Raw genomic sequence first — 12,923 nt, 5'->3', positions numbered from 1 at the left:
TAGTGGGGGAAAAAACCTTTTAGAGCAACATGAATCAAAATGTCCTTTTGAATACAAAGTACAGTGACAGTAATAATTGAGGTTTCTAGGAGCAAGTAGCCATAATGAGCTCCTGTCGTAGCTGTCATATACTCACTTACTAAGCACGGAGGAGCTGTTTGCTGCTATGGATAAAGAGAGCTAGACTCCTTGATCATTTGCTTAACTCCACTTTAGATAAAGTCTTTAGAAAATAAGCTTCCATTAAGAAGAATTTCTTAAAACCATTTAACCTGTCCCGCCTTCCATTTAATGCTTAAGATGTCAAATGAATGTGCTTCTTTAGGGTTCTCTCTTGCTAATTTATCTCTGTCTTTCACAGAATATGATGTTTCTCTTCAACCTCAGGAAAAAAGGATACTGCATTCCTCCTCCATCTTATACTTTAAAATTATTATTTTTGCTTCTCTACATTAAAATATATATATTTTTTCTAGTTTCATTATAATTTTGTTGATCTTGTTTCATACTTTACAATTAGAAATTCTTTCAAAAGGTTGTTATTACCTTTGCATAGATCTTGACATATTTTGGAAATTATGTAGAATATTGTATTAGTCTGTTCTCACACCGCTAATAAAGACATATCTGAAATTTATAAAGAAACTTATAATTTATAAAGAAAGAGATTTAATTGACTCACAGTTCCACGTGGCTGGGGTGGCCTCAGGAAACAACCATGGCGGAAGAGGAAGCAAACACATTCTTCCTCACATGGCAGCAGTAAGAAGTACAGAGTGAAGTGAGAGTAAGGCCCCTTATAAAACCATCAGATCTCGTGAGAACTCACTCACTATCAGAAGAACAACATGGAGGTAACCACCACCATGATTCAATTACCTCCCACCAGGTCGCTTCCACGACACGTGGGGATTGTGGAAACTACAATTCAAAATGAGATTTGGGTGGGAACATAGCCAAAGGATATCAAATATTATATCCAAAAAGGTAGAATTTAGAATTTTATTGAATTTATCATTGGCTACCAGACTAGAAAATACACATTCACTAATATTTTACAAACTGAAAAATTAATTTTATGAGAGGTAAATTTTAATTAGAAAAAAGCTGCCCAAGGGATAAAGTATTCTGGAACTATCATGTAGTGGGGGAGAGGATAGCACTGTCTTGGAGCCTGGATGAGGCAATAGTAAACACGGGCTGTGGGCAGAGAAAGCTGCCCAGTAATTATACAGAGTGTCCCTAAATAGGTAGATATGGGTGAGGTTATGTCAATAATTTATTTTAAATTTAGTCAACTTTTGGTTAATAATTTGAAAATTATATGGCATATGGAATTTAAAATTATTATAAAGGAACAATATGCAACATCAGTATATGATGATAGAAACTACCACAACAAACCCATTGACTGCTATCTCTCTAGAGAGCAGGTTTTGTCCCTAAAAGCAGAGTAAGCAATTTAGGATGACCAGTTACCTATAATTTACACTATGTAAAGTTTTTTCACTTTTAGACGTCATCCAATTCTTCAGGTCATCAACTGAGTGTAATGCAATTTATCTATAGCTGAACTGGAGTATAATCACCTTAAAGAAGTAAAAATGACTTCTTAGCATAAGAAGATGCTTATCCTCTGACATGTCTACTAAATATAGGTGCAATCAGAGTTAAGAAAGCCCAGATTAAAAGGATCTCATACATATAAATTGGTCCGTTCAACTGCCTTCGCTTTTCCTCAGTCCAGCCAAACTGGTGATTTCCTTCACATTCCCTCTCACCTCATTTTCTGCTCTGCAAGTTAATCATCAGAGGAGCTCTTCCAGAGCCACAGTTTCTAAGGGATAGCTCCGACAACTGTCTGAAGCAATGATTTAACCACCGCTTTTCCTCATTTTCAGATGATCAATTATTCCTTCATTTTCTTTTTTCCCCTGATCTTATCATAAATTTTGTCAACTTTTCACTTAAAAACAAAAAACAAAAAACATTGTGTTTCCACTCCATCCTTTATCTTGCCTCACAAAAATATTTCCTTTTGGCCATCTCTTTTCATTCCGTATATGGGCCAAAGTTGACCAAGTTAGGATTATGTATATGAAACACGCCAAGGATCTATCTGAATTGATCAAATTAAAATATAGATTTTGGAAAGACGTTCTATTTAATAAAGACCCGTTGCCATCAACTGATAAAGTCCTGGATGGATCACAGAACTGTTTTTCAAAATTAGGCTATTTTTATTTGCCCCATTATAATCTAAATAACTTTGACCCTCTTTGAGCTACAATCTGTAATATTAAAATATACTTGATTCTTAACATGACTAAATTATCCAAATTTTATTGTAACATAGTTTCCATTATTTTTCATTAAATGCATATTATTTTAAATTTAATAACAATGGAAAACATTACATTGACCTAATTTGGAAAGCATACCATTCTTTACTTCTCTCAAAAGAAAACAATCCCAGTTTAGGCAGATGAGTTATAGATGGAATATAAGAGCATTAGCAAATGACTACTACTGAGATGTATTTGCTGATTCAGAATTGCTACTTAGAAACTTGCTTATGCAAGAAATATTTGTATTCTTAGTCACCAAAAGGATGGTTAGAACACAGATTATGGAGTGTCTGACCCTAGAGTTTAGGATATATGAGATTTGCACTGCTAACAAGTTGCCAGATGTGGCTGATGCTAATAATCATGGGACCATAGTTTGAGAACCATGGGGGTAGTGTTTGAATTCTTCCTAGCCCTATATGGACCATAAAAGTCAAGTGAATTGCATTTATTTTGAAAACCCAAATATACTTTAATAGCATACTAATCTTTAGTTTGTTAAGATGTCACTGACAGAGTATAATTATATGTTTTATATTTATTATGTGAAAATTTGTTTCAACATATTGAAGAATTGTATTCAAGATTCAATTGACCCATACCGCGTTTTCATAATAAAATTCAAATCTCCAACATTCCCAAATTGTTGGACTCATATACCTTTGTGCTACTAAGGTGCTAAATGTTTTTCTCTGGATTTAGGGGTTGTAACCTGTTATTGGAAGTCCTTTCTTACAAAATAATTTTGACTTTTAACTCTTAGTATAAATACTCTGTTGGTATTTAGAGAGCCAGGGGAGACATTCTTATGACTTAAATAGAGAGTATATATGTTGATTATAACATCTTAGTTAAAAAACGCTGGGTGGAAAAAGGTTGTAGCAGATTTTAGCAGAATGGTTAATTATGGTAGTGATTTGGGAAGTCAGACTATTTTCTTACACATACAGAGGGCTGGAATCAATGAAAATCTTATCATGATGAAACCAATCACAGTAGTCAGTTTAAAAAAAAAAAAAAAACTAAACTAAACTAAAAGAAAAAACTGCACCCCCTCTACTCCTCCGTGCAGGGAACAAAGGAATAACAGAGGAATAGAGAGATTTTTACAGTTTTTTTTGAATTCCTTCCTTGGTTCCCAGTTCATTTCCTCGTGTTCTCTCCGTCATTATGCTCTCTACATACGCTCTTCCTTCTTCCTCACACTTTACTATTTCCTTATCTATTGGACTGTTTTCTTCAGGACTCAGCCTATGCTAACTTTCTCAGGGACGCATCTAACATCTAGTAAAAGCGAATTCTCCTGCTTACGCTCCACAAATATGTATACATACTCTGTGTGTGTGTGTGTGTGTGTTTGTTTGTAGCACACCATATTATCTCCTTCACAACACTTGCATTCTGATGCTTTTTAACTACTTGTTTATCATCTCATCTTTCTAGTTAGGTTACAAAGTCATGAATGCAGACTGCTTTGGTCAGTACTATATCCTTGAATTTAACAAAATAAATGTGATGTTGGTTAGTATGTGCTGGATACATAAGTATTAATTACATGTCTTGAAAGGTTGAAATTTATTTTGCTGCTAAGTATGCAAGTATTTTAGATGTAAATATCTTAACTGCATTGTGCAAAGGGGAACATTTCATCATAAAATAAATTAGATCAGCCAATCAGTTCATTTGGAAAAGGTTTGATAATGGTGCTGTGGAATGGCTTATTTGATAGATACCCATATCCTAAGTTAACTAAGAATATATTCTACATCGTAATGTTATCAAGCCAAAATTGAACTCAGTGGCATAAATAGGTCCTGATATTAGACAAGTGTGGTTTTGAATTCCAACTTTTCCATTTAACTAAGTTAGGCAAGATATTTGAATTCTAGGAACTTTGGTTTTCTCATATGTAAAAGGTGATTAATGTTACCAACTTTGCAAAATTGTGAATATTAGAAAAAATTTATGAAAATCTTGTTTTACACAATTAATATGCTTTTATGCATACCGATTCAAGTCATGAATAATAAAAAGTCGTCAACAAAATAACGTTTTTCCTTTATTCTTTAGTTAATTTAGCAAGATGATATTTATCCAGTTCTTTCTATATGAAAAGCAGTAAGTGTCCAATTTGCCTAATAATTCTGCAGTAAATTCCAATTTGCCTCTGACTTTTAGGATATACAATCTGTCTTCACTTAAAGTTATGTGTGACATGAGATGATTTCTTCCAACTCTAGCTTTAGCAATAATATTTTGTCTTTAAAGAAGCATTAAATGACATTATAAAATTATGTTACCTCATTTTACCATGCAAAGCTACTGTGTGCCTCCCTTAAATCAATATATTAATGTTTAATTACATGGTTTTAAGAAATAATTAACATGAGAACTGTAGCAAATACATTGTAGTAGGAAGTATTTTTTTTTTTTTGGTCTTAAAGTGGTTGTGTCATTTTTAGTAGCTTTCTAAATGTAAAACTGATCATTTCAATTTTGGATTAAGATGGACTGAATGCATATTAATCAATTTGGTTTTTGTTTCTTTCCAGGAACCCTAGTAAAAGTTATTTTTGTTTTTATTGTTTCTATTTTAAGAAAGGATATTATTAAGAAAAGATATTATTAAGGGAAGAATGAAAGAAAGAAATCAACAGCAGCAGAGTTCTGGAAATAGGGTAGAAGATGAATAACTGGTCATTTACTTGGCTTAATACTAAATGACTTTTTAGTTGACTTTTTAGTTTAGTTGACTGTGTAGTTGTTTTGACATTAATGACTTTTTCACATAGTGAAAAAGTTTGGAAACTAGGACCAAATGTATTTAAATGGCAGAAAACTCAAAAGTCACAGGAACTGGTGGCAACTATCACCTCTGTAAAATGAAGGTAAAGAGGCATGACTTGAATAAGGAGGAACAGGGGCACATCATTTGGCAGAGTTAGAGCTCCACATCTCCAGCCTTTTACCAACTTCTAGGGATTGCCCTCTGCCCTTGTTCTAAAGTTTAGAGAGAGAACGGGTAGAAAGGATCTCTGAACTGAGAGATTCTAGCCATCATTAGAGGCGTGAGTACCCAGCTGAAATGATGAGATTAAGGACCATAATCCTTAACCCTGAGATGCTCACTCACCATTCTATTCATGTTGCTTCCAGAATGCCAGTGGCATCACATAGAAGACACTAATATTGAAGGTTCTCAAAGAGATGGCCCAGGTTAGGATTGAGATGTCTATTTGACCTTCAAATTGAAATGTAAAGTAGGAATTGGATATTATAGTCTGGGGAATCCAGAGAAGTGCAGGACCAAAATAACAATTTAGGGGTCATTTGTGTACAATAACTAGAAGAAGAAAATAACAGAGTTCCCAGAATATATGGCCAGTTGGATATCAAGACTAAAAATATTAAAAATGAAAATATGATCAATGGCATCAAGCACCGCTGAAAGGTCAAGCAAATAAGAATTGAGGGCTGACTACAGGTTTTGAACATATGGAAGACACTGGTGACCTTAGGGGAGACACAAGAGATAATTTGGAAACAGTGGACAAAAACAATTTTGAGATATTTTTCTGTAAAGGGAAACAGAGCAATATGATGGTTGTTGGAAAAAGAAGTGGAGATTGAGGTTATGGTTATTATTTTTATTATTATTTAGGGAGGCCTGACAAGCTGTTTGTTGACATAAGGGAAAGATACATTACAGATGAAGGAGAGATGAAGGAGAGAGAAAAGATAATTGCTAAGAATTATCCTGGACTATGTGAGACAGAAACAGAATATATGAATGGGAGGTCGATTTTCACTAAATTTACTCACGATTTATTCAGAGTAATAGGAAAAATGTCAAATATAAGTGTATCAATATTGAGTGTAATTTTGGTACACTTATACATTTTTCCTAGTACTATTTCCATAAGTGATAGAAAAAATGTCAAATATAAGTGTATCAATTTGAGTGTAAGAGCTTGTGAGATCTTCAATTTTTCGATTTTTATGCGATAGGACTATTTGGAAAAGATTTTGGTGGCTGGGACTGTAGTTGTTTTGACATTAATGGTGATGAGGTATAAGATACAGGCATCAAAGTGACAGTTAAGGAGGACTGTTTCCTATTTCCTCAGTTTAATCTTCTCAGGTGAGTTTGAAGGTGCCAAATAACATAGATTCCAGGATTTGGAAAGGCCACACAGGTGTACAGTGAAATAATGAAGGATTTAAAAGTTGTGTTGGAGAGAAATAGAGTGAGCACAGACATAAGATTTCAAGGAATAAGGAGGAGTAAACCACAGTCAGTGCTACTGGCAACAAGAAAAGATTGACTCATGATATGAAAGTCCAAGCTGAAGGCGGAGAGGGAAGGCTCTAGAAAAAGCAATGCAGAACGAAGAAGTCACATCCGTCACTTTCAAGCCTAGGTGTATGAGGTGTGGGGGAGGAAAGCACAGGCATCCCTGAGAAGCCTGTTGGAGAATCAGCATCCTCAGGGGAGATTCGAGTTTCAATCGGAGCAAGAAGGTAGGGACCATTTAGAGAAACTGTTCACAATGAAAATACTGTGTTTGACTTCTCAGTAGTTGTTCACACTTACACATTGTAGAATAATTTATTAACTTACATTTATATTTAAAGAAGATTAAATGTCTGGATAATTTGAAGGAAAATAAAATTTTGGATTTTCAAGAGAAACATTATAACTACAAGATATGGATATTTAAGAATACCTCCAAGGCAGAGGATTTGTTTCCATATAAATACATATTATATACTTTATACTTCTCATTTTTCATACATATGCAACATGCCTAGTACATCACACACCCTGAACATTTTTATATGCATTTTTATCTCATTGTGTGGCAACATAGCTACTGTATTCAAGCAGTGACTCATTGATTAGGAAATTTTATATTGTTAAGGAAGCTCATAGTCGTCTCACATTCCTTAAAGTAATTTAAAATGAGTCTACTTGAGGCATTTCTGACTTGATTATTGTAAGTTCAATAACTCCCTTTTCTATTATTCCTCATTATGTTTAAAATCTATTGTGAGGTGATTCAAAGTGTAAGAGCCTGCAGCTATGTTTGAATGAGAGCAATAGTTACCTAGAGAAAGAGCTTTCTCCCACTCATATTGCCAGGTCTGAGCAACTGCTGCAGTCATCACACTATTATTGCTTTTAGTAATCCATATGATGTGATCTTTAATAGCACTTTCATCAGGACTATATGTACCACACGAAAGAGAACACCCACATGCTATCACATGTGACTGTGTCTTTTAAAATACTAATCAGGCACAGAACAATCCTTGGCAATCTAAAACTCTTGGAGATGGACTTTGATTTCTGTGAAATAACTAAACGTTAATCTATGACAGCATAGTATTCCTAGATATTAGCACACATTTGACAATAAATAGAATCATAAACATGAGAACAAAATATTTATCTTAAACTGTTGTGAAGTCTTGAAACTAGTATTTCTTTCTGACTACCAGCATGTGGTTGTCAACTTAATAGGTGACTTTCTTTGTTAGTTTTTACCTATAGAGCAGCATTTTACTATTATCATTTAATGAAGAAGAATTGTTCTGCTCTAATCACTTTATAGATTAAAAATGTAGACACTCTACATTGAAAAAAGAAATTAAATCAGCAATAGAATTTGAGACAAGTATATTTCAAAAGCTGGTCAATTGAATTTAAAATTGCAATTACTATCTCTAGTATATATATTTCCAAAAGTTACTGTATAAAATATATGTAAATATATCTATCAGTGAAATTTGTGCAAAAAGAGAAAATAAACTAGTATATGTTTTTTAATGTCTTAGAGAAAATGCTTTGAAAAATTTAGAAAATAAGAAATGATATGTTAAAAATAAGGATGATTCTTCATTCCTACCAGGCTTCTAGTCTTTTTATGACCGATTTTTTATGTTACTGATGAAAGTCTAAGCTTTTTCCTAAAGGGGGTGATTACACAGTCATCACTGGTCTCCAACTGTCCCAGAGAACTCTACTGAGGTTACTTAAATTAACCTTTGCTGGAATAAGTTTGGTTAATATGCTACCTCCAGAGAACCCCTAGCAAATGTTAAGTGTTTTATTGAAGTTTGCCAGGAACATTATATCACATGCTAACATATTTCCCTGGCTTACATGAGGATTATTCAAACTTCAATTGTTTAATAAACAGAACCTTATTAAATATTCACAGACGATTTAATAAACAGAATATTTGAAGAAATGTAATTTTAAATAACAGATGGAACCAGAAATATACCAATTTAATTAAGGGAAGAGACCACGACTAACATTAGTTTTCTTTCTTTTATCTAATAGCATCCCAGAGGCACTTTAACCAAACCCTGGAGAGAGAAGAAATAAGGTTTGAAAACCACTAGACTACATATTTGGATTAGACAGCTATTGCTTAGAATAGGACAGACTCTTTTCAAAGAGTGATGTGTGAATGAACTGTCTAGAGATATTAAAGTTATAAAAGTATATTGGTTTAGGTTATTGTTAGACAGCAGGCCTAAAGGAATTGATATATAGGTAGGCCTAATGAAATGCTCCCAGGATATTTGTAAGAAACATGCCTGCAGTTAAGGAGGCCTGGAGAGCAGCCGGCTACACTTACAGCTTGGTTTAAAACCAACCCTTTCTCCTCCTGCCCATTCCCACCACGACTTCACACAGGCAGGCCATTCTAAATGGTGCCCTGATCAAATCTGAAAAGTACCACTAACGAATGTTCAGCTATAAAAATATAATCGTCAAAAGATAAGCCACATAATCTTCAGTTTATAGTAAGACTGGATAAAACTGCTTTAACAAAGGGGAACACATTCAACAGAAAATGTGCCGTATGAAAATGATTTTTATGTAATGTGTATGGTTTTACATAAAAGCATTTGGTTGTAATAAATAATACATTTGAACTTTTTTTCTTAAATTAGAATTTTTTCTTGGCCTCCAATCATTTACAGTTGCATATCTAGATAGAAATACATGTAGTGTCAGTTTTTCTTGAGGTTCAGTTCAACCTAGCCTCAATGTGGACATATTCAAAAATCTAATTCTCAAATGAAGCCAGGAAACCATTGCATGGATTTAATACTTGGTCTACAGTGATTGTCATCGTCATAGTTACTCCTTTAGCTTCAGCATACTACTGTTTGACAACTGTACTGTATATGTCTAGACAAGATGAGCCCTGGGGACTTAAGCAACCCTACTGGTGGTCCTCCCACTTAATGCAACTATTTCACAGGAGTTCCATATACATCTTTTCTGTGAATGCACTAATCTTAATTCAATGGTGTGTAATGTACATTCCCTACTATTACTTCTCCAAAGTTAGCATTCAAACTAACCACCTGAGGGCTTGTGAATACAGAGATTTGGCTCCAGTATCAAAGATTCAAATTCAATAAGATGTGGCAGGCCCCAAGAACTCCTACCGATGTCCAGATAATGTTGCTGCTGCTGGTGTGTGGACCACATTCTGAGCAGCCCTGCACTAGAGGAATCCTCTGGCCATCCCTCATCTAGGATGATGCATGAAAACAGGACAGGGATTTCTGCAGTTTGTAAAAATATTTTATTTGGTTTCTTCTGTCTCCACCCCTGTAGTATATTACTGTGTCGTCTTTGCACAGCAAGAACTTAGCATCATCCTCTTGTATTTTGGATTTTGTTTCCTATTTCCTCAGTTTAATCTTCTCAGGTGAGTTTGAAAGACAAAAGTTCTTTACCTGTTAATGGATGAGGAGTTTTAAGAATCTTTAGAACTATTTTCCTGGACTCTTGTTTCTTGAATGGGGGTAGGAAAAGTGTATGTTAATACTGCTTAAGCTTTTTTTTGATAAGTCAAATTCTGGAAGTAGAAAATAGAGAACAAGAAGATGAGTCAGACTAGGAAGTTTTAAAAAACTCCTGTAATCCCAGCACTTTGGGAGGCCTAGGTGGGTGGATCACCTAAGATCGGGAGTTCGAGACCAGCCTAACCAACATGGAGAAACCCCGCCTCTACTAAAAATATAAAATTAGCCAGGCGTGGTGGCACATACCTGTAATCCCAGTTACCCTGGTGGCTGAGGCAGGAGAATCATTTGAACTCAGGAGGTGGAGGTTGCCGTGAGCCGAGATCGTGCCATTGCACTCCAGCCTGGGCAACAAGAGCGAAACTCCGTCTCAAAAAAAAATAAAAATAAAAAATAAAAAAATTAAAAAAAATATATATATATATGTATATATATATGTATATCTACATACACACACACACACACACACACACACACACACATATATGTAATCTAAAACAGAGAGCATTAAAGAGACCAGGAAAAGGGTAAAATAATTTTATAAATTTAAAATATTTTATGAGAGGTGATTTGTAGAATCAATGATTTTTGGAAAAAAATGGGTCCGTTAATAGAAAAATGCATAAAAAATGAATAAATACAAGTGTGCAATAGAATAAAAATAAAGTGATATAGAAATTAAATCTAGGTTAGGCAAAGACTGTGTATAACCACTATTTCTATAGGGGAGAACACAATGAAAATTTATCATGAACTAAGAATGGCTACTGTGTATAGAGAAAAAGTAATATGAAATTATGAACACAGAGCTGTATTTTTCATTCTTCTAATATAAGCTGAGTTCCTAATATTAAAAAATCTTTCTAAAAATAAAAGACTATCTTACACATCTAGACAGAACACATTTAATCTTTGAAGCTGTGGAGAAAAGTGAGACGGGCCTCACTTCTCATAACACTAGATGCCAGAAGATAGTAAAAAATAATTTTCCAGTTTTAAAGACACATGGATACGTTTAACATTTTCTACCTATCCAGAATATTACCCAAGTTAAAAGGAGCAGAAAGATGTTCATATGCACATAAGCACTGAGGAATTACAACATTCCCAACTTTAAAAATTTAATTGAATTTTTGTTCCAGGAATCAGTAGAGATAAAATAAAAACTAATAAGTGAAGTCGTCATCAAAGAGCTGGCTACTCTTTTTAACAATATTTTCTTTAAACAATTATGGCGGTTATATTAGATTGAGTCCTAAAATCTATTAAGTTAATGATAGGGAATATGTGTTTTAAAAATTATACTACCAGCCAGCCGGTTATATCCATGAAAATGCACTAAAGATTACAAAACAGAATACACACTTAAACAACCATATTTATGCCGTGAAAATCCACAAAAGAACCAGAATAAAAGCAGTTACATTTTGTCCTCAGAAACTGTGAGATACTATTTAAGTAAATTATCATTTTGACCTACACCAGTCAACACAAAGTTCTTAATTAAAACCAGAAAAGTTCTAACCAAGAAACATTAATATTAGAGCCTATGAGGGCTTGATAATTAACATCGTATTTCTGTTTTTTTGTTTTTTTTTTCCTCCAATTTTGAATCCAGCCATAGGTCATAAAGATGGCGATGGTTATTTCCTTCCTCATACCCATGGTTTGTTACAATGTGACTTTGCGGTTCTTCCCATCAGTAAACAGAAGCCATTTTCTTACTCCTTGCCTCTGGATGGGCCTTGTGGCTTGCTTTGAGCAATAGAACGCATCAGAAGGTGACCTCATGCCAGTTTCATGCCTTGGCTTCAGGAGGCCTTGAATTCTCTGCTGCTCCTTAGGAATCTTCTGAGCCACTGCTTAACAAGCTCCAACCTCTCCAGCTGGAAGATGAGGCATAATACAGAGGAGAGGCAAACTGTCCTAAAGAGACTACCCTAAGCCAACCAGTCCAGATGACAGGAGGTTGACCTTGACACATGTGTAAGCCCAGCCAAGGTCAGCCAAACCTAGTACAGATCAGAAAAACCATCTATCAATGCTCAGCCCAAATTTCCAACCCACAGAAATATGAATTAAATAAATGATTGTTGTTTAAACCATCTTGATTTTGAGATGCTCACACGACTGACAGCTGATTGAACTGCCATCTGGCTACTTACCAGGTTTAAAAATCACAATTATGTCTGCATATGCACACAATGCTAACTCTTTTGGATGGGCCTTTTCTCATAGGATTCTCTTTCTCAAACACAGTTGAATTATCTTTTTATTATGTTTTCTCCATCCAGTTTCTAATTGTGGGATCTTATTTGTGGGATCTAAAAAATTGAACTCATGGACATAGAGAGCAGAATGATGGTTACCAGAGGCTGGGAAGGGTAGTGGGGGGATGTGAGGCAGTAGGGATAATGAATGGGTATAAAAAATAAAAAGAATGAATAAGACCTACTATTTGATAGCACAACAGGGTAGCTGCAGTCAATACTAATTTAGTTGTACATTTTAAAATAACTAAAAGAGTGTAATGGGATTGTTTGTAAAACAAAGGATAAATGCTTGAGGGGGTGGATACCCCATTTTCCATGATGTGATTATTTTACAATGCATGCCTGTTTCAAAACATCTCATGTACCCTGTAAATATATACACCTACTATGTATCCACAAAAATTAATTTTTTTTGAAAAAGAATGCAGCCATGGCAACACCTTGATTATAATAAACTGGTGAGACC

At 34.5% G+C, this 12,923-nt stretch overlaps 1 long non-coding RNA gene across 1 annotated transcript; it reads left to right on the top strand.

Annotated features, from left to right (window-relative positions):
- Window positions 1-5,564: 5,564 nt before the first annotated feature.
- LINC01912 (long intergenic non-protein coding RNA 1912) lies at window positions 5,565-12,289 on the top strand. The gene is made up of 4 exons (NR_183524.1): window positions 5,565-6,869; window positions 8,698-8,743; window positions 9,994-10,087; window positions 11,803-12,289. It is a non-coding gene; the product is annotated as a long intergenic non-protein coding RNA 1912 (long non-coding RNA).
- Window positions 12,290-12,923: the final 634 nt, after the last annotated feature.

This window comes from Homo sapiens, chromosome 18, assembly GCF_000001405.40.
Source record: "Homo sapiens chromosome 18, GRCh38.p14 Primary Assembly".
In the NCBI taxonomy this organism is placed as follows: Eukaryota; Metazoa; Chordata; class Mammalia; order Primates; family Hominidae; genus Homo; species Homo sapiens.
The sequence above is the reverse complement of the archived record's forward strand: the minus strand, read 5'-3'. Positions and strand labels throughout refer to the sequence as shown.